At 39.8% G+C, this 27,263-nt stretch overlaps 1 protein-coding gene and 1 long non-coding RNA gene across 10 annotated transcripts in view, besides 7 other annotated features; one reads left to right on the forward strand and one right to left on the reverse strand.

The window, feature by feature from the left end:
• The window catches only part of TCAF1 (TRPM8 channel associated factor 1), a 50,802-nt gene extending 28,779 nt beyond the window's left edge, over nucleotides 1-22,023 (reverse strand). For 2 of the 8 annotated variants that reach the window (XM_005250074.5, NM_001206938.2), the window contains exon 1: nucleotides 21,874-22,023. The gene's annotated coding sequence lies outside the window, so the exon portion shown is untranslated. Of the gene's footprint in view, nucleotides 1-1,769; nucleotides 1,947-2,582; nucleotides 2,700-5,056; nucleotides 5,218-21,807 lie in introns of those variants that run through there. The other 6 variants (NM_001206941.2, XM_005250075.4, XM_005250077.3 and 3 more) reach the window with 5 other exon arrangements.
• Nucleotides 4,973-5,022: an enhancer, noted in NCBI's record as "active region_26794". NCBI's record gives its function as "activates an Ori minimal core promoter by ATAC-STARR-seq in GM12878 lymphoblastoid cells {active_cell/tissue: GM12878}" and the evidence as "EXISTENCE:reporter gene assay evidence [ECO:0000049][PMID:35858748]".
• Nucleotides 5,053-5,112: an enhancer, noted in NCBI's record as "active region_26795". NCBI's record gives its function as "activates an Ori minimal core promoter by ATAC-STARR-seq in GM12878 lymphoblastoid cells {active_cell/tissue: GM12878}" and the evidence as "EXISTENCE:reporter gene assay evidence [ECO:0000049][PMID:35858748]".
• On the forward strand, nucleotides 5,298-21,800 carry LOC105375549 (uncharacterized). Of its 2 annotated transcripts, XR_002956526.2 has the most exons (4): nucleotides 5,298-5,397; nucleotides 6,354-6,492; nucleotides 17,059-17,208; nucleotides 18,799-21,800. It is a non-coding gene; the product is annotated as an uncharacterized LOC105375549 (long non-coding RNA). The 2 variants fall into 2 exon arrangements; XR_007060574.1 differs by having other exon boundaries at nucleotides 17,059-21,800.
• Nucleotides 20,991-21,528: an enhancer, noted in NCBI's record as "H3K27ac hESC enhancer chr7:143598237-143598774 (GRCh37/hg19 assembly coordinates)". NCBI's record gives its function as "activates a minimal SCP1, AML or CMV promoter by ChIP-STARR-seq in primed H9 embryonic stem cells {active_cell/tissue: H9 hESC(primed)}" and the evidence as "EXISTENCE:reporter gene assay evidence [ECO:0000049][PMID:30033119]".
• Nucleotides 21,204-21,253: an enhancer, noted in NCBI's record as "active region_26796". NCBI's record gives its function as "activates an Ori minimal core promoter by ATAC-STARR-seq in GM12878 lymphoblastoid cells {active_cell/tissue: GM12878}" and the evidence as "EXISTENCE:reporter gene assay evidence [ECO:0000049][PMID:35858748]".
• Nucleotides 22,044-22,183: a silencer, noted in NCBI's record as "silent region_18728". NCBI's record gives its function as "represses an Ori minimal core promoter by ATAC-STARR-seq in GM12878 lymphoblastoid cells {active_cell/tissue: GM12878}" and the evidence as "EXISTENCE:reporter gene assay evidence [ECO:0000049][PMID:35858748]".
• Nucleotides 25,596-26,096: an enhancer, noted in NCBI's record as "H3K4me1 hESC enhancer chr7:143602842-143603342 (GRCh37/hg19 assembly coordinates)". NCBI's record gives its function as "activates a minimal SCP1, AML or CMV promoter by ChIP-STARR-seq in primed H9 embryonic stem cells {active_cell/tissue: H9 hESC(primed)}" and the evidence as "EXISTENCE:reporter gene assay evidence [ECO:0000049][PMID:30033119]".
• Nucleotides 26,637-27,193: an enhancer, noted in NCBI's record as "OCT4-NANOG hESC enhancer chr7:143603883-143604439 (GRCh37/hg19 assembly coordinates)". NCBI's record gives its function as "activates a minimal SCP1, AML or CMV promoter by ChIP-STARR-seq in naive H9 embryonic stem cells {active_cell/tissue: H9 hESC(naive)}" and the evidence as "EXISTENCE:reporter gene assay evidence [ECO:0000049][PMID:30033119]".

Below are 27,263 nucleotides of genomic sequence, written 5' to 3' on the forward strand. Positions count from 1 at the left end.
ACCAGGTTCCTGGCATTACTACACGTGATTTCTGTAACTTATTTAATGCTGACAATAAACCTATGAGATATTTACTATCACTATCCCCATTTTATGGATGGGCAAAACAAAAACTCCAAAATCATAATGCCCAGAGAATTAATTATTTGCTCAAAATCACACAGGTGCTAAGTGGTGGTGGATCTAGGATTCAAATCCAGGAAACCCAGTGCTGGAGTCCATACTCTTAAGCACCAGGAATACATAAGTACCTGTTACATACCAGGCTTTTATATGCATTGAAAATCTATGGAGGCCACATTTCAACATAATCACATTGATTACATTAGGAAGGAAAGAGGTGAACCATTTTCTCTGTCTTTATACAAATCTGCATCCTTTGAATTGTTGTATGTATTGCTACTACAATGAGAAACAACACCGAGTTAATACAAATTCAGTTAAGCATGTAAACACACATTAAAAGATTAGGTACAGTTTTTACATGATGAGGTAGACTGATCAACTGATCCTGGCTCACTGGACCTAAAAGGTCTTCCTCCATCTCTGATCAGGTTGTGCATCTGCCCATCTATAAATTTGATTTCCTCCTCTATGGGGGTCCCTTGAACTCTGCAGCTGGTTGTGTCCCCACTTTAACCAGCTATCAGTGACTCCATCACTTGACTTTTGAACCAAATGCTCCCTCTCTATGCCCGAATCCATGTTTGTCCTCCAAGCTTGGTGAGCTCAAATGAATAAAACCTGGGGGAAATGTCCTTTCATTTCTCTCCCTAACCCCTCCCATGCTTCCTGCTTTCTTTCTCCTGGGCCCACCTCTGGCCCCTTTTAGCTTGCTGGAACCAAAGCCAACTCCAAAGCAGAAAGTATTGAAGGCACAACCTGTAACTCAGGGAGAGAGCAGAGCTTCCACTCCCACCACAGAGCAGCGCCATGGCTCGTAAACCTGGTTTTCCCTTTGAGAGATGCGTGGAAGGGCAGGTGGATGGAGGGCCATGCTGGATGCTGCACCACCCATATCCCGTATGGTAGTGTGATTTCAAATCCTGAAACTAGAGTAAGTGTCTGAGGCCAGAGTATACATTTTATTCTTTGGATGAATAGACATTCCATGTCTGGATGATTAAATGACAGATGAGGGTATAAGGGTAAACCCAGGATCATTTTTTCAGCAACTAGCTAGCCTGACCTCGAAAACTGGTTTATATTACACACATTCAATTCCATAGGTCTTCTCTCCTTCATGCTGTTTTTTTCTCATGAACCTTCTGTTTCTTTTCCTTTCTATATCCAGTGTCTTTTCCAAGACATCGGGCTAGTTCAACCCCTTTTTTGAATTCTGTCCTAGACATTCCCAGCTCAGTCTTATTTTTCACTTAAGATTGTTTAATTCATACACCTGTAAGAATATGGAATACATGTGGAGGGATATAGATGGTAATAATAAAACAATCTGAAAAATTAAACAAACTCCCATATACCTACCATTCAGCTTAAAAAATAGACCTTTACCACCATCTTTGAAGCCCCTCCTGTGATCCTCCCCATTCAGCCCCTCTACCATCCCCATAGGAGTAAGCAGGGTTGGAGTCTTTGCTTCTTCTAGTCCTCTATTTCTACCTTACCGAACTGCCTTCTTAATTCTCAAGTTCCCCAGAGGCTCTGTCTTTCTCTTACTCCTATTCTCTCACTTCTCTCCTAGGTCACTCAAGAGGATGACATAATTGAGGAGCACAAGCCCAGGAGTGAGAAGACCTGGGTATTATTACCTTTTTAAATGTGGGCGCTGCCTACCCCCCAGCTGTTGATCTGCGTGCCTCAGGGAGTATTCTATCAAATGCACAGTGTGTGAGAAGGGATGTTCTAAACTCCCAGAGGCTGTCAGCACTCAGCTTGGAGTCTGGCGGGGCTCCACTCTCTTCTTTCCTCCCAGGCCCAAAGCCAGTCTGCAAAGAGCACAACGGTGACGTCTGAGAAGGGAGGGGGCTGGGGAGTGGGGGGCAGCCGGCAGGGAGGAGGGGAGCTCCTCCATGCGCGTAAACACACACACACACACACACACACACGAACGCTCACTCAAGTCTCCAGGGGCCAGTGCCAGTGGGAGATAGAGCTCAGTCCCAAAGCCAGTGTTCACAAAGATCAAAGGGCAGTAGGACAGTAGGCCACAAGTAATGCTCTGTCACCAGCTACCCGCGACCCTGCTCAAGCCCCGGGCCTTCTCATCCGACAAAGCAGCGGATTAGACGCGGTTCTCTAGGTCAGGCCCTCAGGTAACTCAACCACACAAAGCAAGCACACACAAACATCAGATGTCAGAACCTGGAGAGGAGGAGCAATGCGGCAGGGGGATGCGGGACCCAAGCGCAGAGGAAAATCACCAGCAGAAATACGGACACAAAGGGGATTCTCTGTCCCCGATGATTTCTGATTTCGGCACACCCAGACCCACGGCGCACCCATCGCGCCCCGCACCCCCGCCCCGGCCTCCCGCCCTGCCCTCCCCCCCGCAGCACCCAGGCCGAGTCCACCGTTGCTGGCCCCTTCTCCAGCCTGCCAGGCTTTTGGAGAGGGCCACTCACCAGGTCACCCTGCGATTTCCACGGGGGCAGGTGGGAGCGGGCAGAGCCTGGCGCAGAGAGGAATGCACAGGGAAGAGGCTTCCCTGTACCAGTGACTGGGCGACCGAGCCGGGATTTGGGAGCGGGGAGGAGGCTGGAGCTGGAGGAGAGGAGGGGTTTCCACGGGAGTCCCCTCCTCCCCACTTCCTCCCAGGCTGGAGTGGGAGCTCCAGGGGGCGGCGCTTGGCGGGGGACAGCGCTTCTTTGTGTCGCCGGCCCTGGTGGCTTGGCATTGCTGTGGCTTAGGGACGCCTGGAGACCCCATCCTGGCAGTGTGGACGGCTGTTTCATTAAAGATACAAACTTCTCTGACTCTACATTAGTAAGGGAAAGGCTGAGCAAATTGTGGGACAAACATTCTGCTTAGTATTATTCAGTTCTTAGGAAGAGCTTGAATCTCCATTTAGTCGGTGAATATACCGTGATATATTGCCAAGGGGAAAATACAAATTGTAGAAATTGTTGAATATGCTTTTGTTTTTATAGGAAAAACAAACCCCGTATATATTTGTATTATGGTGGGGAGAAGGGAAGGCTACATTTCTACCCATTAATATTGTTTAACTTGAGAAATAGGAGAGGTGCAACTTTTTATATAACTCTGCACTGTTTGCAGTTACGTGTCTTACTTTTGTAAATTAAAAATAATATACAGTTCAAACAATAGTTAACCAAAATGTATTTTTCGGTGTACAGTTCAAATCGCATTTCTTTCTTTCCTTTTTCTTTTTTTTTTTTTTTTTTTTTTTGAGACGGAGTCTCGCTCTGTCGCCCAGGCTGCAGTGCAATGGCGCGATCTCGGCTCACTGCAACCTCCGCCTCCCGAGTTCAAGAGATTCTCCTGCCTCAGCCTCCCAAATAGCTGGGATTACAGGCGCCCGCCATCACGCCTGGCTAATTTTTTTATTTTTGTAGAGACGGGATTTCACCATGTTGGCCAGGCTGATCTCAAATCACTGACCTCAAGTGATCCGCCCGCCTCGGCCTCCCAAAGTGTTGGGATTACAGGCGTGAGCCACCATCGTGCCCGCTCCCCATTTCTTTCCTTTATGATATCAGCTGAGAGCTGCTCCTCTCTCTTGTGTATGTGGCCACTTCACCTTTCTCACAGGTGCTGGCTCCAGCATGGGAAATGCAGGGTGGTGACAGGGACCCAGACTAAGTGGACTGGATTCAAATCCCAGAGCTACACTTTACCAACGGTGTGACTTTGGGGAAGTTACCTAATTCCTCTGTGCCTCAGTGTTATTACCTATACAACGGGGATGAGAAAAGTAATACCTATACTAAGCCTTATTATAAGGCTTAAGTTAGGTGAGTTTATGCTTGTAAAGTTCTTGAATCAATGTCTGGTATACGGTAAGACTGGATGAGTGCCTCATAAATAAATATTCAAATCATCCTAAAATTCAATATTTCATATTTCAGGAAAATGCATACCTTTTAATCCTAACTGGGGTTTGAGTCCCAACCCAAGCCATACTCCCTTTCCCCATCTCCCTTCAACTCCCTTTCTCCAAATTGGATCATTAGGAACAAGTCAGAAGGCCATGTAGATAGGTGAGCTCCGCGGCAGGTTTTATGTAAAGGAAATGGCAGGGAGAGAAATCAAGAGAACCTGAATTCAAGATTCTGCCAAGTCAAGGCCCACCTGAGAGACAGTGAGCACATCTTTTATCTTCTCCAGTGTTCAGATTTTTCAGCTAAATGAAGCGGGCTAGTGACTGGCACTCACTAAGTCCCTTCCGGGTCTGCAATGTCAGGACTAACAGCACCGCAAGTTAAAACCCTGTAATACTGAATCTCGTGCAAAAATTTTAAATTCAGAACAAAAACGCATACCTAAAAATAAACATTAATAATAAAGGACAAAATATACAAGGTAAGGGATGCAAGCTAACTTACCTCTCAGGATGGGGGCATGAGATTTGGTGGGGGGAAGGGGTTTTTAAGTGTTTTATTTCTTAGAAAGAAAGGGGGGTGGAGGAAGAGAGGGAGCGCTGAAGCAAAGGTGATAAAATGTCAGCATATAATAAATCTGTCATATTATCTCCTGCGCGTAGCTTTGAAATATATTTCATAATAAAATAAAATATGTTGCTGGTTATGTTCCTGGAGAAGAAATGCAGTATGAAAGAAATAAGAGACTGGTAGAAAGAAGCTGAAATAGAAACAGCAATGGAGAAAGCGCAGGCAACCCTTTTTGAAAGACATCTACCTCCCTGGACCCAAAACCCAAGGGGGTCCCAGGCCAAAAACGCGACCACTTTGGCAGCCCCGCGTGCGCCCCCCTCGGCCGCGCTCCCCAAGGACCCCGACCCAGTGCCTCCTTCTCCCACCCGCACCTCAGCGGACTGCATCGGGAGCCGCCCCTGAATTGGTCCGTGTGCCCGGGCCTGGTCTGGTCCCCGAAACCAGCTTTGGACGAGACTCACCCTTTCGTCCAGCAATTTCCACACCAGGCTACTTTGGAGTGGGGAGTCTTCCACAGAGATGTGGGAAGGCGCTGGGGCAGACGCCTTGGGAATTTGCAAATTGGTAGTGAAGTGGCTAGGAGGAGGCGTGTGGGGGGAGGTGGGCTGCAGTGCAGACGGTTGGGGGTTGGGGCGTCCCCGGGAGCTGATTGGCTGCCGCGGGTGGAGGCGGAGCTTGGCCGCCGCCCCCGGACCGCAGAGGCCCGGCTTTGTGTCAGTTTCTACCCCAAGATGCCGCCCCAGATCCGGGATGGAGACCCAGACGCCCGCCCTCAGAGTGCAGCAGGACGATTTGTTTCAAAGTAAATCGTTGAGACTGTTCATTAACAAGGGAGCGATGGATAAATAATGATGATCTCTGTGTAAAATAATATACAACTATTTCCAAGGATGGGTTAAATCTACTTATATAAATCTACTTATATATTGCCTCTATCTATATATTTATATATTATTTTTAAAATAAACATCTAACATAGTAAAAAACGTTCCATTTTGTGTAAAAAAAACTTCAAAACTGTTCATATGTACTTATATAAACACAGAAATTGTATGGAAGATAAACTATTAGAACCAGTTACTTCAGACAGGAAAGTGGATTACTTGTTATTTTTTTCTTGATACACCTCATTAGCGTTTCAATAGTCACACGCATTATTTTGTAATAAAAATAAATTTAATCAACTAAAAAACTACATAAAATATCCTCACCCAAGCAGCTGGCAGCGGCTTCTCTACAAATATGATTTCTCCCTGTGGAGAACTTTGTTGCTAGTTCTGATCCATGTTATTTGAGTGGAACACGAGACTTGACCATGGAGCAGGAACTGGCTTTATGCCTGACCAGGTCCTGCACTCGCATCTACTCATCTAACCTGGAGAGCTCAACTGTAAAACCTGGAGGAACCACTCATCTCTTTTTATGGCTGGTCCCCAGGGCCCCAGGGAGATTTGCATGGCCCCTGTCCTGTCTCCAGATTCCTCACCCCTCACTGCCCTGGCCCCTGTTTGCTGGGTACCTAAGGAAGGGTTGTCCTGGGACCAAACTGTTCTCTGGAAGAGACCATCACAAAGCTTTCTCCCTTACTACAAAAGTGTAGTGTCCAGAGTGGACCTTCCAGGGGAAGGTGGCTTCAGTGGTGAAAGGGACAGGGTACGACATCCCATATAAATTAAGGGTTTCATTTCAACTGCTCCAACTACAGGAAGCATAGGTTAAGAACTCTATTTTATTCTTTCTATTCCCCACTTCAACTAGGTCACAAACAGGTGCTCTGTAATGTCCACTGGATGGATGGATGAAATGGGGTAAGAAAGAAAATCCTTAGGATCATTCCTCAAAAAAACAAACAGCAGCCTAAAGCAGAAAATGGATGAAATTACACACCTCCTGTGCTGTAAGTAAGTTTTCTCCTTCCTTCATGCTCTTTTAATGCTTCCTCAAATTTTACCTTTTTTTTTTTTTTTTTTTTTTTGAGACAGGGTCTTGTGCTGGAGTGCAGTGGAGCGAGGCTCACTGCAACCTCGAACTCCTGGGCTCAATCGATCCGCCCACCTCAGCCTCCCCAGTAGCTGGGACTACAGATGTGCGCGCCATCATGCCCAGGGAGTTTTTGTATTTTTTTTTTTTTTTTTTTCTGTAGAGATGGGGTCTCACTTTGTTGCCCAGACTGGTCTTGAAGTCCTGGGCTCAAGTGATCCTCCTGCTTCCGCTCCCAAAGTACTGGGATTACAGGCATAAGCCACCCTGTCTGGCTGCTTCCTCAAATTTTGAGCTGGTTCTATCTCCTCTTTCTCAGTCTCAGACACCACATTATAAGCTAAATTTTAAATGCTGGATCCTTTCTTATTTCTACTTCCCCTTGAGTTTGTTTTCCTTTCTAATGTTCTGCCTGGAGTAGCTCTGAGTAACGAAGACTGCTATGAAATCCTGAAAGTATTCAAATAACTTTTGAGATACTAAGTTTGGTAAATATTCTGAAACATGTGAATAAATGAACAATTAAAAATCCATATCAAAAATATTACGCAATTCTTTAAAATGAGCTCAATTCATACCTTGAGAAATTGTCTTAATGTATATTTTCAGCAATAAAAGTATGATCCTACTTTTTGCAGGGAAAAAATTCTATAATTGCGTGTTTATGTTTAAGCACAGAAAACATAAGGACAAATTTGGCTACTTCAGGAAGTGGGGGAGGGTTGAGCAGTAATTTTTTTCTTTAGACACTTTGGATTTTGAAAATGTTACAAGTATTATTTTGCAACGCAAAATAAGACTATTATTCAGTAATACCACTTTTAGGTGTGTACCCAATATACACATTTTCACTGAAGGACACGTACTGGAATCCTCAAAGTGTCACCATCCAAGGTAGTCTAAAACTGGAAACTACTCAAATCCTATCCTCCCTGCTTTCTCAGCTCTAATCCACCCTGCTCTCTATCAGCTGGGTACCATCAACAGTAGAATGTTTAAATAAATTGTGGCATATTCACAATGAAATATGGTACAGCAATGAGAATGAATGATTTGCATTTTTCACAATATAGCTGAATCTCACCAACATACTGTAGTGAACTAAGCCAGAAACAAGAGAGTACATACTATATTGTTATATTTACATAAATATAAAAACAGGTGAAACTAATATTTGATATTAAGACTTAGAATAATATTTACTCTTGGGCCAGGTAGTGACTAGAGAGGAACACAAAGGCGACTTCTGGGTTACTGGTAATGTTCTCTTAATTAATTTAGGTGCTGGCCCAAGGTTGTGTTCAGTTTGTAAAAATGTATCAAGCTGTACATTTATGATATACTGATATATAATCACACATGCAAATATCTAACTTTAATAAGGTGTTAAAAATAATGTTTTAGTTCTAGGAATGTAGATAAATGTCCCAAAACATACTACTGATGCAAACAACATATATACACAAAATATTATAAATTCATCAATGAAATGATAGGAAAGTAGAGAGTACACAAAGCCAGAAACAAACTAAAAGCAGGAAACATTGAAGGAAGCAAGCATGAAAGCTGGCTCTCACCACAATGCTTCCACAAAACCCTGGAGAATGTATGGGGAGTGACTCTATGGGGTTTCCAGCCTAGGATATTAAGACCAAGCTCACAAAAAGAATATAATTAAAAATGACATCCCAGCACAAAGCTCACACACCAAAGGGGTATTCCAACAGGGTAAAGGTAAATAGGAAGTAAATTCATGTCACAGAAGAAATCAATGCAATTTGCTTGTCTTGACCCTGCTGAAAGATGAAGGGGAAAAAGATCAATGAGAATGAATAATCACAAACCAGTTTTCCATATAGGTTTGCAATATTAATTCATGCTACATCTGTGAATTCAAAAACCCTAAGCAAATAATTTGAGGTGGTCCCAATTTGCTAATGTATTCAATTGGAAGATGCACATGCATATCTTTTCTAGAGAAATTTAACTTTAATGTATCTAGAAATAATTTCTAGGACAAAAATTCACATGAAAGGAGAAGCTCACATTAATAATTTTTAAAACCACATAACACTCAGGAAATAAAGCACAATGAAAGACAGCCATTACAAACAAGAGAATCAGAAACAGGCAAAATTTAGATATCAGAATTACTAGTCACAGAACATAGAATAGCCATGTTTTGTACATTTGAAAAATAAAATAGAAACTAGAAACTTGAACAGAAAATAATTGTATTTATAAAAAAGAATCAAAACTAGAAATTAAAAAATAATTGAAATAAAATAGTTCAAAATAGAAATTTATTGAAGAGACTAAATAGAAGATTAAACAAAGTTGAAGAAAGAATTACTGAACTGGATCTGGAGTAGAGGAAATTATTCATAATTCAGTCTAAAATCGAAAAAATGATGGAAAATATGAAAAAGGATAGACGATATAGAGCATATAGTGAGAAGACCTAAGACACATCTGATCTGAGGTTCAAATAGATATAATAGAAAGATTGTGGGAGAGTTATTATTGAAAGAAATGATTGAATTTTCCAGAGATCTTGAAAGACACCAATCCTCAGATCCAGGGAGTCTAACAAATCCTAAAATGATAAAAAGAAATACTCATCTAAATATCTGTAGTGAATTAAAGAAGAGAAGACACCAAAGACATCTCAATTGGTTCAGCTTACACAATTCTGACTGAAAAATGAAAGTTGAGCAAACTCTCCACTTGATGGGATGCATCAAGATCAGCTGCAGAAAAGAGAAGAACTTTCAATGGAGATTTTAAACAAGTGAGATCAAGATTCTGAAGCATATCCTCAAAGAACTGTAACAGGAGAGGAAACATGGCTTTACCAGTATGATCCTGAAGACAAAGCAGAATCAAAGCAATGGCTACCAAGAGGCAGAAGTGGTCCAGTCAAAGCAAAAGCAGATGGGTCAAAAGCAAAGGCCATGGTGACAGTTTTTTGAGATGCTCAAGGTGTTTTGCTTGTTGACTTTCTGGAAGACCAAAGAATGATAACATTTGCTTATTACTGTAGTGCTCTGAGAAAGTCAGCCATAGCTTTAGCAGGAAAACACCCAGGAAAGCTTCACCAGACAGTCCTCCTCCACGATGGCAATGACTTTGCCCATTCCTCTCATCAACTAAGGGCAATTTTGAGTTTCAATGGGGAATCATTAGGCATCCACCTTAGAGTCCTGATTTGGCTCCTTCTGACTTCGTTTCCTAATCTCAAAAAATCTGTGAAGGGCACCCATTTTTCTTTTTTTTTTGAGACGGAGTCTCGCTCTGTTGCCCAGGCTGGAGTGCAGTGGCTCGATCTCGGCTCACTGCAAGTTCCGCCTCCCAGGTTCACGCCATTCTCCTGCCTCAGCCTCCCGAGTAGCTGGGACTACAGGCACCCGCCACCACACCCAGTTATTTTATTTTATTTTATTTTTTGTATTTTTAGTAGAGACAGGGTTTCACCATGTTAGCCAGGATGGTCTCGATTTCCTGACCTTGTGATCCGCCCGCCTCGGCCTCCCAAAGTGCTGGGAGAAGGGCACCCATTTTTGTTTGGTTAATAATGTAAAAATACTGTATCTACATGGCTAAATTCCTAGGACCTTCAGTTTCTTAGTGATGGACTAAATTGCTGTTATCACTGCTTACAAAAGTGTCTTGAACTTGAAGGGGCTTATGTTGAGGCAACATTTATTTTTCAAAAAATTTTTAATTCCATTATTCCCACAAACTTCTTGAAATTCCCTCATATCTTTGGAATAATCCTCCCATTGGAAACAATAATAAAAGCTCAACAAAATATAGGAAACCAACTGAAGACTCAGAAAAGTAAACAACATAAACAGGACAAAAGGACTATAATCCTTGATGAACAGAAAACACAGGACATGAGTTGTATATTCGCTATTGCTTTTTACTTTCGGGCATTTTTCATTTTACAGTGCAGGGTTACTGAGGCTGAAAAGGAAGTGTCAGTCTTACTGGTTCAAGACTATCAAACCAGGTGGAGCTCAAAGGGCAAAGTTTCAGACATGAAGAAACCAGACAAGTTAATCTAAAATTTTATATATGAATTCCCCTAATGTCACTGGCTGATTCCTAAGCTATGCATGCAATAGGAGAGACCTCAAGGAAACTTGTAGGAAATAGTGGCCAAAGAGCTAAACAGTTGAGCAGTCATTTCAGTGGTTATATTGTTCTGAGAAAAGCAATGGAGTTTATGCCCCAACAAAAAGAAACATTCTAATAAACACTCCATGATTTCAGTTGACACATAAGAAAATCCCTGACATATGAAGAAGCATATCTTATGGTTTAAAGACTATGTTCTTGGAGAAAGATCAAACCTTAAATGGGCTAGTCCTAACAAAGCCTAAAACTAATATTTGATAGCATCAAAGTAATCTGCTGGTACTTTATCTGCCCACTTCCCCAAAAAATCCTCTTGAAAGAAAATAACATCAATCAAAACCTTTATATTTTTTCATCCACAATATTCTGCATTGAATCAAAAATTAGGAAAGCAGTTAAAAAAACAGAATAAGTTGCCAATAACTCAAGAGAAATAACAGAAAATAAACACAGGCACAAGTGGTTCAGATACTTGAGTTCTTAGAGAACTTAACTGTGATTCATACGTTAAGAAATTAGAAACAAGGCTGTGGAATTTCAGCATAGAAATAAAACTCATAAAAAAGTAAAATGAAAAATTAAAAAAGAAAAATAATAATAATTAAAATTGGTACTTAATAGATTGCTTTAATAGCATATTAGACACAAAAGACCAGAGAATTGGTGAAGTATAGCAAAGGTAAGTAGAAAGTATCCATACATAACATAAGAGGAAAGAAAACATGATACACAAAGAGATCAAAAGATACAGAAAGAGTGTAACAGGATTATGAGATAGGGTGAAAAGTTGTGACACATGAGTAATCACAGTCCCAGACGGAAAGGAAGGAGATAATAAAACAAGCAAAATGTTATCAATTAATGATTTGAAAAACATCAAACCACAAGCTGAAGAAACTTTATGTTCCCCGAGCAGAATACACAGAAAGAAAACTACATTGAGACACATCACATTCAAACTGCTGAAAACCAAATTCATAGAGAAAATCTGAAAAGCAGCCAGAGATAAAGGATACTTTTCATTTAAATGAACAAAAAATACAGCTAATTTTTCAAAAGAGTGATGAAAATAAGAACACAACAGAATTCCTAAAAGATGAAAGAAAAAGAAAAATCTGCCAACCTAAAATTCTATACACAAGAAAAATATTCCTCAAAAATAAAGGCAATGTAATTTTAGATACACTAAAGCTGAAAGCATTTTCCACTAGAATATAACTACTAAAACTAATTTTTTATGAAAATTATTCCTCATAGAAGTACAGTGCTGTAGGAATTAATAGAGAACACTGAAAAGAGTAAATACATAGGCAAATATAAATGAATATTGACTGTTTAAATAAACAAAATGCCTTATGGAATACAGAAGCATATAAAAAATAAAACAGACAATAGTACAGCTGCAAGATGGAGATAAACTTAAAATTTTGCATTGAGAATACATAGAAGTAATAATTTAAGGTAGGTCATAATAAATCAATAAGGTGAACTGTAATATCTAAAGTAACCATTAAAATAATTTAAAAAATTATAATTCAAAATATTGAAGAAAAATTAATAGAAAGTGTTGAATTCGAAAGAAATCAAGAAAAGAGAAAATAACAAAGAAGAAATGGAACAAAGAGAAAACTGTGCAAATTGGTAGACTTTAACCCAATTTTTTTTTTTTTTTTTTTGGAGAAGGAGTGTCACCGTTGCCAGGCTAGATTGCAGTGGTGCGATCTTGGCTCACTGCTGCCTCGGCTCACTGCAACCTTGCTTAAACCCAATATTTATAGATTGCATGTTTGTGTCCCTCCAAAATTTGTATGTTGAAATTCTAACCCCCAATGGAATGGTATTAGGAAGTGGGCCTTTGGGAGGTAATTAGATGTAGATGATGTCATGAGTGTGAAACACTCATAATGGGATTAGTATCTTTATAAGACGAGAACGAGACTAGAGCTCCCTCTCTTGGCCATGTGAAAATACAGTGAGAAAGGTAGCTGTCTATAAGCTAGGAGGCCAGCCCTCACCAGACATTAAATCTGCTGGTTTATCTTTAAATGTTTGTTGTTTAACCACCAGTCTATCACATTTGTGTCACAGCAGCCCAAAACAACTAAGATACCAACTATATAAATAATTATACTAAATATAAATGGATTAAAAATCCAATTAGAAAAAGAGTTCATTTAGAAGAGAAATATTGAAAGTGAAAGGATGGAAAAAGGTACACCAAGCAAACATTAACCAAAAGAAAGCTAGTATGGCTTATGTACAATGGGCAAAGTAAACATTACTGTCAGCAAGTGTTACTGTAGATATAAAACAAATTTCATAATGATAAAAGGATCAATTCAGTACAGCAATACAAAAATTTTAAATTTGTATCCTTAATAACTTCAAAATTTATAAAGCAAAGTTGACAATAATAAAAGAAGAAAAGACAAGTCCACAAGCATAGTTGAAGATTTAAGTACATTTTTCTCAGTAATCTGAATAAACAAGTGCATAAAAATCAGTAAGGATATACATGATTTGAATAACATAATTAACAAATTTGACCCTGTTGACACATATGGTACATATACACCTACCAACAACAGAATATACATGATTTTTAGTGCGTGTCAAACATTTTCTCAAATAAAACATATACTGGGTATGAAGCAAGTCTCAAGAAACTCAAAAAGATGTAGAATATATTCTCTGATCTTAATGGAATTAAACCAGAAATAAATAATTTTTATTTATTTAATTAGAAAATTCCCACGTTTGGAAATTAAGGATCACACTTCTGAACACCCCTTAGGTCAGAGAAGAAATCACAATGGAAATTAGAAAATATCTTAACTAAATAATAATTAAAATACAATTTATCAAAATTTGCAGGAGGCAGCAAAAGCAATTACTTAATAAAGGAATTACTTAATAAAGGAAAACTCTATAGCTCTAAATGCATACATTAATAAAAGGGAAAGACTGAAAGTAAACTATTTCAAAACATTAGAAAAAGAATAACAAATTTAAAGTAAATCAGAGAATATAATAAACATAAAAGCAAGAATCAAATTTTAAAAAATTTAGAAATTCAGTAAAACCAAAAGTTGGTTTTAATGAACCAAACTAAGAATGATCAATAAAGAGACACAGAGAGAGAATCCATTATAATTATCAGGGGACATTATTGCAGTCCCAAAAGACATTAAAAATATAACAAAGTGATATTACAAGTAATCATATGCCAATAAATTTAACAAACTCAGATGAATTTGCAAATTGTTTAAACAACATAATTTATCCAAAACAGCAAGAAGAAGCAGAAAATATAAATAATCCTATACATAAAAAAAATGCAGTCCAAAATCAAAAACATTCTGCAAAAAAGTTTAGTCCCAAAAGGATTTTTATGGTGAATTTTTCTAAACACTTGAGAAAAATATAATACTAATATCATAAAACTTCTTCCAGAGACTAGTAAATGAAGAAACTCTTCCCAACTCATTTTTATTACACCCAGCATAACTTTGATAGCAAAATCTCGTAAGTACATTATAAGAACAAAAACCTAGAGACGAATATTACTCAATGAACATAGATTCAAAAAGTCTAATGGTGTGAAATGCCTTTTCAATAAGTAGTTCTTGATTGATTAGATGTCTATATAAAAACCAATGAACCCTTAACCCATACCTCATATCATATACAAAAAATACTCTGAGATAAATTATAAAACTAAATGTGAATGGTAGAACTATTAAGCATAAGGAATCTTTTTGTGACCTAGAGGTAGGCAAAATTCTCGTCAATACAACTCAAGTCCTAAGCATAAATGTTTGGATTTATTAACAATAAAAATTAGATATTATAAAAATTAAATAAAGAGGTTCTTTTTATTAAAAGACATAATTACCAATGGGAAAAAGCAAGCCAAAGATTGGAAGAGGATATTTGCAAATCGCTGATACAAGAAAAAATATATATGCATATTCGGAATATAATTTAACACACTCACAAAATTAATTAAAAAAAGAAACCACCCCTTTACCCCCAAATAGACAAAATACATGTGCAGGTGCATCACAAAATATGGTATTCAAATGGCCAATAAGCATACAAAAAGATGCTTAATATAATTAGTCATCAAAGTAATACAAATTAAAACCATAATAAGATACCTATATCCATTTCACGTGGCTAAAATTAACTATAGTGACAATATCAAATTGTGATGAGGATCTGGAGCTGATGAACTTATATATATTTCTGATGGGAACATAAATCGATACAGCTATGTGGCAAAACTGTCTGACATTATTTAGGCTGACCAGATGTATGTTCATGAGAAGTAAGTTTTTATGTCTACCAAAGATATGTTCAAATGAGATTTATTTGTAATAGTCAGAAACACTGGAAAAAATAAATGTCCATCAACAGTAGAATGGATAATTTGTGATATACTTATACAATACTATAGAAAAAAAAGTACTGCTATATGCCACTATATGGAAGAATCTCATCGACCTAAAACTGCATAAAACAAACACAAAAGGATACCTGTTTATGACTCAATTTATGTGAAGATCAAGATTGGACCAATATATCATGACAGAGGTCTGAATAGTGGTTATTTTTGAGAGTGAAAATTACCTAGAGTAGGGAAAAACAAAGTCTTCTGAGGTGTTGTAAATCTATATCCTGATAGGACCATATACATATATAAAATTCACTGATCTGTACACTTATTATTTGTGAACCTAACTCTACGCACATTATAACTCAGGGTTTTTTTTTGTAAAAAGAAAAATCTGTAAACACATGTTGGTAAACATATATTTAATACACTGATGGTATTAAATAACAATAATCATTTGATACTTGCGGGGTAAGAGACAAGGTACTAAGGATCAATTTAACTTAAGTATGCTAAATTAAATCTGTTATAAAACTAGTTAAACATCTTAAAAATTAGGAATTATATGCGTTAAACCTATTATAAAATTAAAACATCAGAACTAAGACATGTAACTTCCAAATAAAAGAAAGAAAAAAATGGGCAAAGAAAGAAAGAAGGAAAAAAATGGGTGGGGGGAGGGGCAGGGAAAGAAACATAAAAGGCAGGAAAAATAAAAAGCAAATAATAAGATGGTAGAAATAAATCTAACTTTGTATTACTAATCACAATAAATATACACAGATTATTCAATGACAAGTTATAAATTGTCAAACAATATTTTAAAAATCCAGACTTTTAAAAAATCCAAATAAGTTTACTACATATATATTTAAAACAGATTCTGAAGAGTTAGAGTCAAACGATAAAAGAGAGATAAATGAGGCAAAAACCAAAGAAACCTTGATTTGATCTTTGAAAAAAATACGATTTTAAAACAGAAAACATTAATAGGTATCATAATGTAAGGTCCCTACATTATGATAAAATGTTCAATTTACAACAATTCACTGATAACATAGCCTCAAGATATATGAAGCAAAAATATATACATTTATGAGAAATTATCAAATCCACCATCATGGTGAGAATATTTAACATACCTATTTCTGTAATTGGCAACTCAAGCAAATAAAAAGTTAAAGATATGTAAGATTGGGTTGTATAATTAAAACAGTTGATACACAGAACATCATGTAATTACAGACTACACATTCTTTTTACGCACACAAAGAAAACTTACTGGGTTTTAAAGCTAGCTTCAGCGAATTTAAAAGAATTGGCACTATGCAATCTCTGACTACAATATAAATTAGGCAACTACAACTACAAGATAACAAAAGAAACTTCATATGGCCAAATGGAATTTAAAAGGTACATTTATAAAAAATTCATGTCTCAAAGAACAGACTATAAGGAAAATTATAAATAATTAAAGCTACATGGTCAAAAATAATCATATCAAAACTTGTCAGATGTAGCTAAAAAGTAGTGATAGAAATGTATAGCTTTAAAAGCTTACATAGGAAGAAAAGCTCAAAATTAATGAGCTAAGCATATAATTTAAAAGCTTAGAAAATAAATCACAGAAAAAATTCAAAGAAAGAAGAAAGTAATAAAATAGGTAAAAATTAGAAAAAGACATAAAGCTTTTATGTTGGTGTTTGAAAAACTAATAATGTAGACCATGTTCTGGAAAAATTAAAACAAAAAGAGAAAATGTACACATATTAACAATGAAAAAGTGGCCATATCAATAGATAATGGAAAGATTTATAAACAGAATGAGAGGATTTTATAAACAGTTTTATTTTGTTAATCTTGAATATATATATATATATATATATATATATATATATATATATATATATTCATATATAAACACTTCATCCTTGAATAATCCAGGTTTGAACCGCGTTGGTCTGGATTTTCTTCTGTCTCTGCCACCCCCAAAGACAGCAACACCAACTCCTCCCTTCCTCCTCATCCTTAGCCTACTCAATGTGAAGATGACAAGGAAGACCTTCATGATGATTCACTTTTACTTAATGAATGGTAAATATGTTTTCTCTTCCTTATGACTTTCTTAATAACATTTTCTTTTTCTCTAGTTAAGAATATAATGCATATATAAAACATGTGTTAATCAACTGCTTATGTTACTGGTAAGACTTCCACTCATTAGTAGGCTATTAGTATTGAGTTTTGTAGGACTCAAATGTTATATACAAATTTTCAATTCTGAGGGGGGTCAGTATCCCGACTGCTCCATTGTTCAATGGTCAAATGTATTTATATATATTGAATAAACATATACATGTACGTATACTGATACATTCATGTATATGTGAAATTGTTAAATATCTTGGAAAATACAATTTACTACAACTGACTCCATAGGAAAACCTAAATAGTACTATAATCATTAAAATCTTCTGAAAAAATACACTCCAAACACAGATGATTTTACAGGTGATTCAAGGAAATATTCAAGGACCAGATAATCCCAATCTTGCACAAATTCTTCCAAAGAATAGCATAAGGGAGAATACTATTCATATTATTTTATGATAATACCAGCATCAGAAAAGGATAGTACAGAAAAGTATAATTACATGCCAATCTTAAATCACACGTATAAATATAAATATCCAATGTTTACCTTTTGTATCTATATCCACATACAGAAATTACTACATATTTACCACAAAAGGTTTATTCCAAGAATACAAAATTGGTTTAATATCAGAAATTAAATACTATACTTTACTATGTTGTTAATATAGTTAAAGGAAAAAAAGTATATATATTCTCAACAGCTACAGGAAAAGCATTTGAAAAAACATCCATTTATAATAAAAGTGCTTACCAAAAGAAGAACAGAATTTTCTTATGATGGGGAAGACATTTACAAAGTAACTATAGCAAATGTCATTTTTAAGTTGACATAATGAAATATTTCTCATTATTATCTTAAGGACAAAACAAGATGCCCTTTATTACTTTTATTCAACAGTGTACTGGAGCTCCTAGTCATTGTCATAAGACAGAAAAAATAAATTGAAGGTATGAGAATTAGAAACGAATAAACAAAATTATCATTATTTTCGGATGATATGATTGCCTATGTAGCAAATCTGAAAGAAGCTACAGGTAAATTTAGAATTATTAATTTTCTCAAGTTTGATTGATATATAATTAATATATAAAAGGCAACTGAATTTCTGTATGCCAGCAACAATAAACTACAAAATATAACTTTTACAAAAGAAAATGCTTACAATAGCAGTAAAAATATGACGTGCCTAGAAATTTAACAAAAACTGAGCCAAAAGAAAACAATAAAAAATAGTACAAAACATTGAAGATGACTTAAATAGTGTCATATACCATGTTCATTGAGGAAAAGGGCCAATGTCTTAGAAATAATTTCTGCCCAAAATAATTTATAGAGTGCAATGGTTTGAATGTGTCCCTCAAAAAGCAGGTGTTGGAAACTTAATCCCCAATGCAATGGTGTTAAGAGGTGGGCTTAATGAGAGGCCATCAGGTCATGACAGCAGAGTGAATGAATTAATGCCATCACTGTAGGAGTGAGTTCATTATAAAAGGCGGCATTCACCCTCCTTTTACACTCTCTTTCAGCCTTTCTCTGCCTTTATGCCATGGAATGACACAGTAAGAAGGCTCTTTCTTGCCAGATGCCAGCCACTCAATCTTGGACTTCCCAGCCTCCAGAACTGTGAGCTGATAAATTTTTGTTCCTTATACATTACTCAGTCTCAGGTATTCTGCTATGGTAGCACAAAACAGACTAAGACACAGAGTTGATCCATTATCAATCAGAATTCCAACAGGTTTATTTGCTTGTTTGTTTCTTGTTTTGGAGAACTTGATAAGTTTATTTAAATATTTATATGGAAGGTCAAAGGTCCAAGTAAAGCTAAAACACTCTTAAAGAAGAAGAAACAGGTGATAGGACTTTTCCTACCAAATTTCAAGGCTTTTAATAAAACTATAGTGGTTAAAAATTATTTAGTATTGAGGCAGAGTTAGACAAATAGAAAATAAGAATGGGGGCTTAAAACGAATTCATGCTTATATGGAAATCCTGATTCATGCAAATCACTGGTGCTGGGGCAACAGATTATCCATATGGAATAAACAACATAAAAATCAGTTTCCATGTGGATTAAGACTAATTGCCAAAGGCAAAACTATAACACTTTTAGAAAACGATACACTAAAATTAATCTATGATCTTGAGAAAACAATTATCAAACAAGAAAAGCTATAAAAGAAAGTACTACTAACTTGAAATTAAATTCAAAACTTAGATTCATTGATAGAAACAGAGAAAGAAACAGATATAAAGACATAGAGAGAAAGAAAACCTCAAAAGCAAATTGGAAAGATGTCTGTGGCATATATAGCTAACAATTACTGCTTCGTACCCAGATTATATAAAGAAAGCATTCCAATGAGTCAATAAAAAAGGTAAACAAACAATCCAATACAAAAATGAAAGAGACAGGAATCAGAATTTCACAAAGAGAAAGCACTGATCAACATATAAAAAGTCAATCTCATTAGTTATGGAAAATGCTAGTTAAAATCACAGTTAAATGCTATTTCATACCTGCCAGACTGACAAAAAATGTAATTTTACAAGACTAAGCTGTGGCAAGCATGTAGAGCAACAAGAATGCTCATCCACTGCTGGAGGGAGTGCAAACTGGTTTAACACTTTGGAAAGTTTAGAAATGACCCAATAAAATTGAATACACATAAATCTTATAACTCCGCAATTCTACTCCCAGCTATATACTCTAGGGAAGCTCCCACACAAGTGTACTTGAATATTAGAGGACATGGGCAGGCTTTAAAGTGGCCCCGATAATCCCTGCCTCCAGGTGTTCATGTCCTTGTGTCACCCCCTTCCCTTCAGTGTGAGTTGGGCCTAGGGACTCACTTCTAATGAATATAAAATGGCAAAAATAATGGGATGTCGCTTCTGAGGTTACAGAAAGAATCTGACTTCTGTCTTTCTCTTTTTCTCTGTGGGAGCCTTCTCTCTGGGGGGAGTAAGCTGCCATGTTGCAACCATTCTTTATACAGAGGCCCATGTGGCAAAGAACTGATGTGTACAGCCAGGGTCAGTGAGGCCAATCGGCCTGCCAGCAGTCATGTGAGTAAGCCTGGGAGAGGTCCTCGACCCTACGCCTAGCCTTGAGATGACTGAGGCCCAGTCAATACCTTGATTGTTGATACAGCTTGTGAGAGACCCTGAGTCAGAGACTCCCAGCTAAGCCCCTCCTGGATTCCTGATCACAGAAACTGTAAGATAGGAGGTAACAGGACTTGTTTTGTTTGTTCGCTTTGGTTTGAAGCTGCTAGGTGTTGGGGTAATTTGTTACATAGCTTATAGATAAATCATACACCTCCAAAAGTAGAAACAATCCAATGTCCATCAGCAGTAGAATGGATAAATTATGTACATTTACACCTTAAATGACGAAAACGAAAATGGAAGGAAGCATGAAAGATGAATCTATAAAACTTAAGAATACGTACAGGATAATGTCATTAATATAATGTCATTATAATGAGAAAGCCAATACATATGTTTTAGGAATACACACACAAATATGGTAAAACTAAAAAGAAAAGCAAGGGATTCATTAAATTAAGACAAAAATCACGAAAGATGTCACATCTCAGAGAATGGAGGAGAATGGACCATGGGCATCAGTTGGGACTCATGGGCTTCTAAGGTACTGTGACGCCCTATTTCTTGACCCAAGGAGATGGTCAGGCATTCGTTTCATTATTTTTTAGACCATTCTGAGATATTTCATTTACTTTTTATTCAACATTTTAAAACAAAGTATTGAAACCAATTCATCAACAAATCACTAGTTTGGAGGATGAAAGTGATGGACCGATGGTTGGCTGGTCAGCTAGACAGACACATTCTGTCCTTTACGTCTAGTTCGAGCTGTACTTCTTCTAAATTTCCATGATTATCCAATTGGCAAAGATCTTTTTCTCCTGTACTTAAGGCCTTCTTCCGTTGCAGGTTGGGCCAAACTAGCGGCCAGCTCTCGGCTGTTTACCAGGGAACTGTATCACCCAGCACTTGCTGCTTCAGGCCAAATGCATTCCAGACTAACATTCAGCCTGAATCCCCGCGCCGCTCTCACCGCCACCCCTCCCCAGGTCCCTTCCCCCACCACAAACCCACACTGCGCCCGTGGGCGCCTAGAGCACTGGGGTGGATGAGAACTTCCACCTGGGCTTAACGGAGACAAGCTAGCCTAGAAGAATGCAAGCCCCCAGCTGGCGAGATCAAATCGCCTCGAGGGTTCCTGCTAGCTCAGATCTTAATGGCTCCTTGCGGAGCAAAAAACAAATCCTACGAAAATAGGGGGGGTCATCGCCTCCTGCCCAGCAGAGGGCATAACAATGCGGCGAGAATGAAATAGGCACCGAGCTGCAGAGAAAAATCATCAACGGGGTAGAGACGAAGGAAGGGATCCTCGGTGGAACGGCTCTATCACCTGGGGGCGCGCGCAGAGGCCGCAATCCACGCCCGGCCCTCCCCAGACGCTAAACGTCGCACCCCGCCCACCGCTCCCCGCCCCGGACACTAACCCGGGGCCCAGGCCTCGGTCACCGCGGGCCTCTCCTGGTCCAGAGTCTACGCTGAACCCCACTCACTGTTTGCCCCGCTGTTCCCTGCAGCGCGGGTTCGGGGCAGTAGCAACCTGCTAGGAGCGGGAGGCGGTTGTTCCCAGGAGGAAGCAGCTTCTCCGCCCAGGAGGCAAAGGGCAGCGGGCTCGAAACTACAGGACTTGGAAAGTCTTAGGCGGAGACTGCGGGGGTGGGGGGTGGTGAGGAGGGGCCTTCCAGGGAGCTGATTGGTCGACGCGGACGGGGGCGGGACTTGGCCGGCGCCGTCCCTCCCCTAGACCTCAGAGGCCCTGCCCGCAGATGTGGCGCCAAATCCCGGATGCAGGCCTAGGCGCCAGCCCAGGAATATAGGGAGCAAATTGTTAAGAACAAAACAAAACAAAACAAAAGTGAGAATACTTCTGAACAAGTGACGGCCTTGATAAATAGCGAGAGATGTTTATATAAAATAATACAGGACTATTTTTAAGGACGAGTGAAATCTATCGGTTCTAGCTATAGTTTTTAATTAAAAAAGCAAGTTGTATTAAAATGGAGAGTAGGATCTCTCTTTCCCCCTCCCCTCCCCTCCCCTCCCCTCCCCTCCCCTCCCCTCCCCTCCAGGGGGAGGGTCTGCTTCTGCCACCCAGGCTGGAGTGCAGTGGTGCCATCACAGCTCACTGCAGCTTCAACCTCCCAGGCTCAAGCGATCCTTCCACCTCAGAGGCTGGGACCACAAGTGCGCCGCCACCACGCCCAGCTAACTTTTTGATTTTTTGTTAGAGACAGGGTTTTACTTTGTTGCCCAGGCTGGTCTCGAACGCCAGGGCTCAAGTGATCCTCCCGCCTCGGCCTCCCAAAGTGCTGGGATCACAGGCCTGAGCCACTGCATCAGCTTTAGCATTACATTCGTGTATGAAGAAGACATGCTGCATGTGCTTCTATAAGAGGCGGGGCTAACGGTGGAGAAATTGTCTATTGATTCTTACCTTCACAACCACTGAATTGTTTTTTTTTAAACCAATACATTGTTTTTATAAGTTTAATAAAACAGTAAGGCGTTGAGAATGTTACTAACCAATCAACAGATGACAGATATTGGGCATGAGGGAGGAAAGAAAGAAAGGAGTAGCAGGGAAAAAGCCTGGACTTTGAAGCCACCACATCCTCTGCTTACAAGTTGGGCAGTGTATTCATTGCTAAGGCTGCTGTGATAAATTTTCACACATTTAGTGGCTTAAAACAACACAGATTTACTACTATCTTCCAGGACTGTAGGTCCTGGAAGTCCAGCACAGGTCTCACTGGGCTATCATCCAGGTGTAGGCAGGGATGTGTTTCTCTTTGCAGGATCTAGGGACAAATCTATTTTCCTTGCTTTTTCCAGCTTCCAGAGGCTCCCGCATTCCCTGGCTTGCAGCCCTTTCCTTCATCTTCAAAGTCAGCAATCTCATGGCTCCAGCCTCTGCTTCTGTGTCACATCTCCTTCTTTGAGTCTCCTGCTTCCTTCTTTCACTTAGAAGGACCTTGTGATTACATTGTGCCTATCCAGATAATCTAGATAATTTCCCATCTCAAGGTCAGCTAATTAGCAGCCTTCATTCTGTCTGCAACCTTAATTCTCCCTTGCCATGTAGCATTGCGTATCACAAATTCTGGGAATTAGGATCTGGACATCTGTATTAATCCATTTTCACACTGCAGATAAAGACATTCCCCAGACTGGGCAATTTACAAAAGAAAGAGGTTTAATTGGACTCACAGTTTCACGTGGTTGGGGAGGCCTCACAATCATGGCAGAAGGCAAGGAGAAGCAAGTCACATCTTATGTGGATGGCGGCAGGCAAAGAGACAGCTTGTTCAGGGAAACTGCCGTTTTTAAAACCATCGGATCTCCTGCGACCTCTCCACTATCATGAGAACGGTTGGGGAAAGACCCACCCCCATGATTCAATCATCTCCCACCAGATCCCTCCCATAACACGTGGGAATTATGGGAGCTGCAAGATGAGATTTGGGTGGGGGCACATAGCCAAACCATATCAACATCTTTAGGGAGCTATTTTTCTGCCTATCACAGAGGGCTTGTTAACTTCTATCTTAGTGTTTTCATCTGTAACATTGGGGATAATAATTGTCTCTACTTCATGGAATTTTTATGAAGATTAAATGACTTAATACAGATAAAGCTCTTAAAGCAGTGTCTGGCACATGGAAAACCCTATGTGAATGTTCACCATTACCAGAGAATGGACAGATCCTTCCAGACTTCTTCCATGATTTCCTTGGCCCTTGTCTCCTTTGCTCTTCAAATCTCCAAGTTGTGTGTTCTCTCCTCATTTCCCTGCAAATCTAGTCTCCCCTCAAAACTACATAGGCCTAGCCTGAGATTGGAGGGCAGACATGGATGGGACTTTACTTCTAAGAGATTTCTAGAAGTGAATGCACCCAGCTACTAGCACAGAGGCATAGTTTATGACTACTATGGTGAAAGGAAAAACCAGCGTCTGGATGTGTTTGTGCGGTTAAATGGGGTGTCTGGGGGGAAACTGTGGGGGCAGGTGGGTGTTTGGGGATTGTAGACTGAGTGTGTCTGAAAGACCAGGATTGCTTGCAGTTACCTCTCTTTCTCATTCTCTCATTTCTCATTCTCTCTGCCAAGACAGCTGCACTTCTCTCTTGCCAGATCCCTTCTCCCCTCAGAAGCTGACAGTCAACAGGACATAAGCTTGCCCACCCCCACTCCCTCTCCAGGCACACAAGCAAAACCCACCATTTTTAGTTGCTGTTGTTTTTGCTGTGCAATTGGTCATAGAATTTCAGAGCTACAACATCTCATCCACTCTCCTCCTTTATATTAATACAAAAAGGAACACTGAAATGCAAGCAGCAGAAGGGGTTTGCAGCAGGTAGAGGTGGAGCATGACCTTGGAATTCAGATGCCAGCGCTCTTGCAGTACAAAGTCCTTGAGGCTGAGATCACTGGCTAGTCCTCTCGGCGCCTCATGTTTCTGTGTGTGTGTGTGTGTGTGTGTGTGTGTGTGTGTGTGTGTGTGTGTGTTTGTGTGTGTATATGTTTTAGGGTATGGAAGGACACGGAGCCAGTGCAGCAGAGAAAACCCCTTCACCAGCAAGCACACCAAGACTCCTGAACCTGGGCCAGTGCGAGTTCTGGGCCAGCCAAGGCCAGGAGTTTCCATTTCACTTGCCTCCTCCCGCTACTGGCCACCCCTCAGCTCCTCCAACCCCCTCACCCACCACTCCCCCACCCCTTTCCTCTCCTTCTCAGGCTTGCTCTTTGTGGACTGGCTGTGATCCTGGGAGGAAAGGAGGAGAGAGGGGAGCCCTGCCAGACTGCAAGCAGAGTGCTGACAGCCCCTAGGAGTTTAAGATGACCTTTCTTACACGTCATCGCATGTTTTATAGCTCTGAAGAGCAGCAGTCTTTTTGGTGGCTAGTAAGTGCAGTACTAGACAACAAGGCAAGTGGTCTGTTGGTAAGAGTTCCTGCCCACGATGCTCTCTACCTGTAAGGAATTAAATTATCTCGGGGATGAAGGTGAACAATATGTAAGAGAGAAGATGGACAGAAAGACCCAAGGGAAATGAGCAGTAAAAGGGAAGCAGGGTTTAGAATTGAGGGAGACCTGTGAGATTGGGGCAGAAAGGGAAAACAGGTCAAACAGGCTCAGAAGGGAAGTGGAGGGGTTTTGCTTTTGAGAAAGGTGCTGTAGGGAGGAGAGACACAGCAGTGGGAGTGAAGGAACCCACAGTGCAGGAAGAAGGTCTTATTTATATTAGAGTGAGGTCATTGGCAAGAGAGAGAGAGAGACAGAGACAGAGACAGAATCCATCTGATTCCCTTCCTTCTGGCTTGACTGGAAGCTGGAAAGGATGGATGGAGAGGGTTGGTGCTGAATTCTGAAACCAGCCCTCGGTAACATGGCCAGCAAATTGCTCTCAGCTTTATGAAATTTGTAGTCTTGTCTATAGTTTAGGAATCTAAACCTGAACCGGTTCTCGAAAACATGGCAATGTAATCTTCTCCATTTCCCAACCTCCCTGCCATCTCTCAGTCCGGTAGCTAGGATGTGTAATTCCTTGCCTCAGGTACTTTTCCAATGCAGAAAGCAAAGCGTCAGGGCCACTTCACGGATGTGTGACCACTGCAGTCCCGTGGACCCCTACACTTAGGAGAGCCTCACCCTTGGTTTAATGCGCTGTTGTCTCCATCTTGGAATTCTTAATACGTTTTGAACAAGAGGCCCCACATTTTCATTTTGCACCGTGCCTCCAAATTACGTAGCTGCTTCTGCAAAGCATCCCGAAGGAGTCAGTCTTTAGTGAAAGCCTGAGCCACTGGACAGATTACCAAAGCTGCTTAGACAGTGAGGTGAGGGTGGGAGGGCCTTGGAAAACCGCCAAAGCCAAGAGGAGAGAATGCAGAGACCTGGGGTAGGGCCTGTGGACCATAGAAGAGCAGTGATGGGCTAACTGACCTATGCATGTGTTACTGTGGTACCCTAAGGAGCTGGCCAGACCCCAGAGGGGATGCCCAGGACCCGGTCGATGACTATGACAGAATTTTCTGTTAAATCAGTGGGATAGGAACTCAACGTCAGCATTGAGTTGACTGAATAAAAACAAAATCATTTCTGTTTACATACATGAAATTTTCAACTGAGACTGATACTTGCCTCATGAGCAAGCAGAAAGATTTTTTTCCAAATTTACCTATAATAGAGGTTCCAGATCAGCAGCCCATAGGCTAGACTTGGTCCCCAAGGGTGTGTTTAGGGGGACTGGGTAGTTGTCTAAATCTTTTCACTAATTTCCAACATTTAAGGAATCAGGAGTTTTCACATAAGGAGCAGACTCCCAGCTTCTCTTGAATAAATTGGAAACTGAGCATCAGAGGGCCTGCATTCTCAAAGCATGACAATCTAAAGTCCCCCTTTAGAAGACTGTTCTGCTGCCTAGACTGCGCTTTTACCTTCCCAACATCCTGTACCAGGCCCACTTTTCCCCTTCACATTACTGCCTGACCTTTGTAGGCAGTGGGACTTGTAATCAGGTCCTGAATGTTTCCCAACAATGCCCTTTCACTGCGTAGTACTCCCTGCGGTGGGTCAAAGGGATTCCTGCAGTGTTGCAACCTGAGTAGGAAAAGCGGATGCAGCCCCGCAAGGTGACCTGACAGGCCTTTGGGAATGCTCCAGAAGAAAAGGTTCACTTGAATTCAATAAGGAAACCAAGGAATTGCTCAGGTAAGTGGTTCTCCACAATATGAACATTTGAAATATTGTTAAGTGTTCTGTGTGGGGGTTTTCTCCACGTGATTGGGGGATATCCCATTAAGGAACAGTACCCATGAATGGTGGAAACTATGAATGATGCTGGGTTATTTTTTAGTTTCTGAGAAGACACTGGTGGAGGTAG

This window comes from Homo sapiens, chromosome 7, assembly GCF_000001405.40.
Source record: "Homo sapiens chromosome 7, GRCh38.p14 Primary Assembly".
Taxonomy (NCBI): domain Eukaryota; kingdom Metazoa; phylum Chordata; class Mammalia; order Primates; family Hominidae; genus Homo; species Homo sapiens.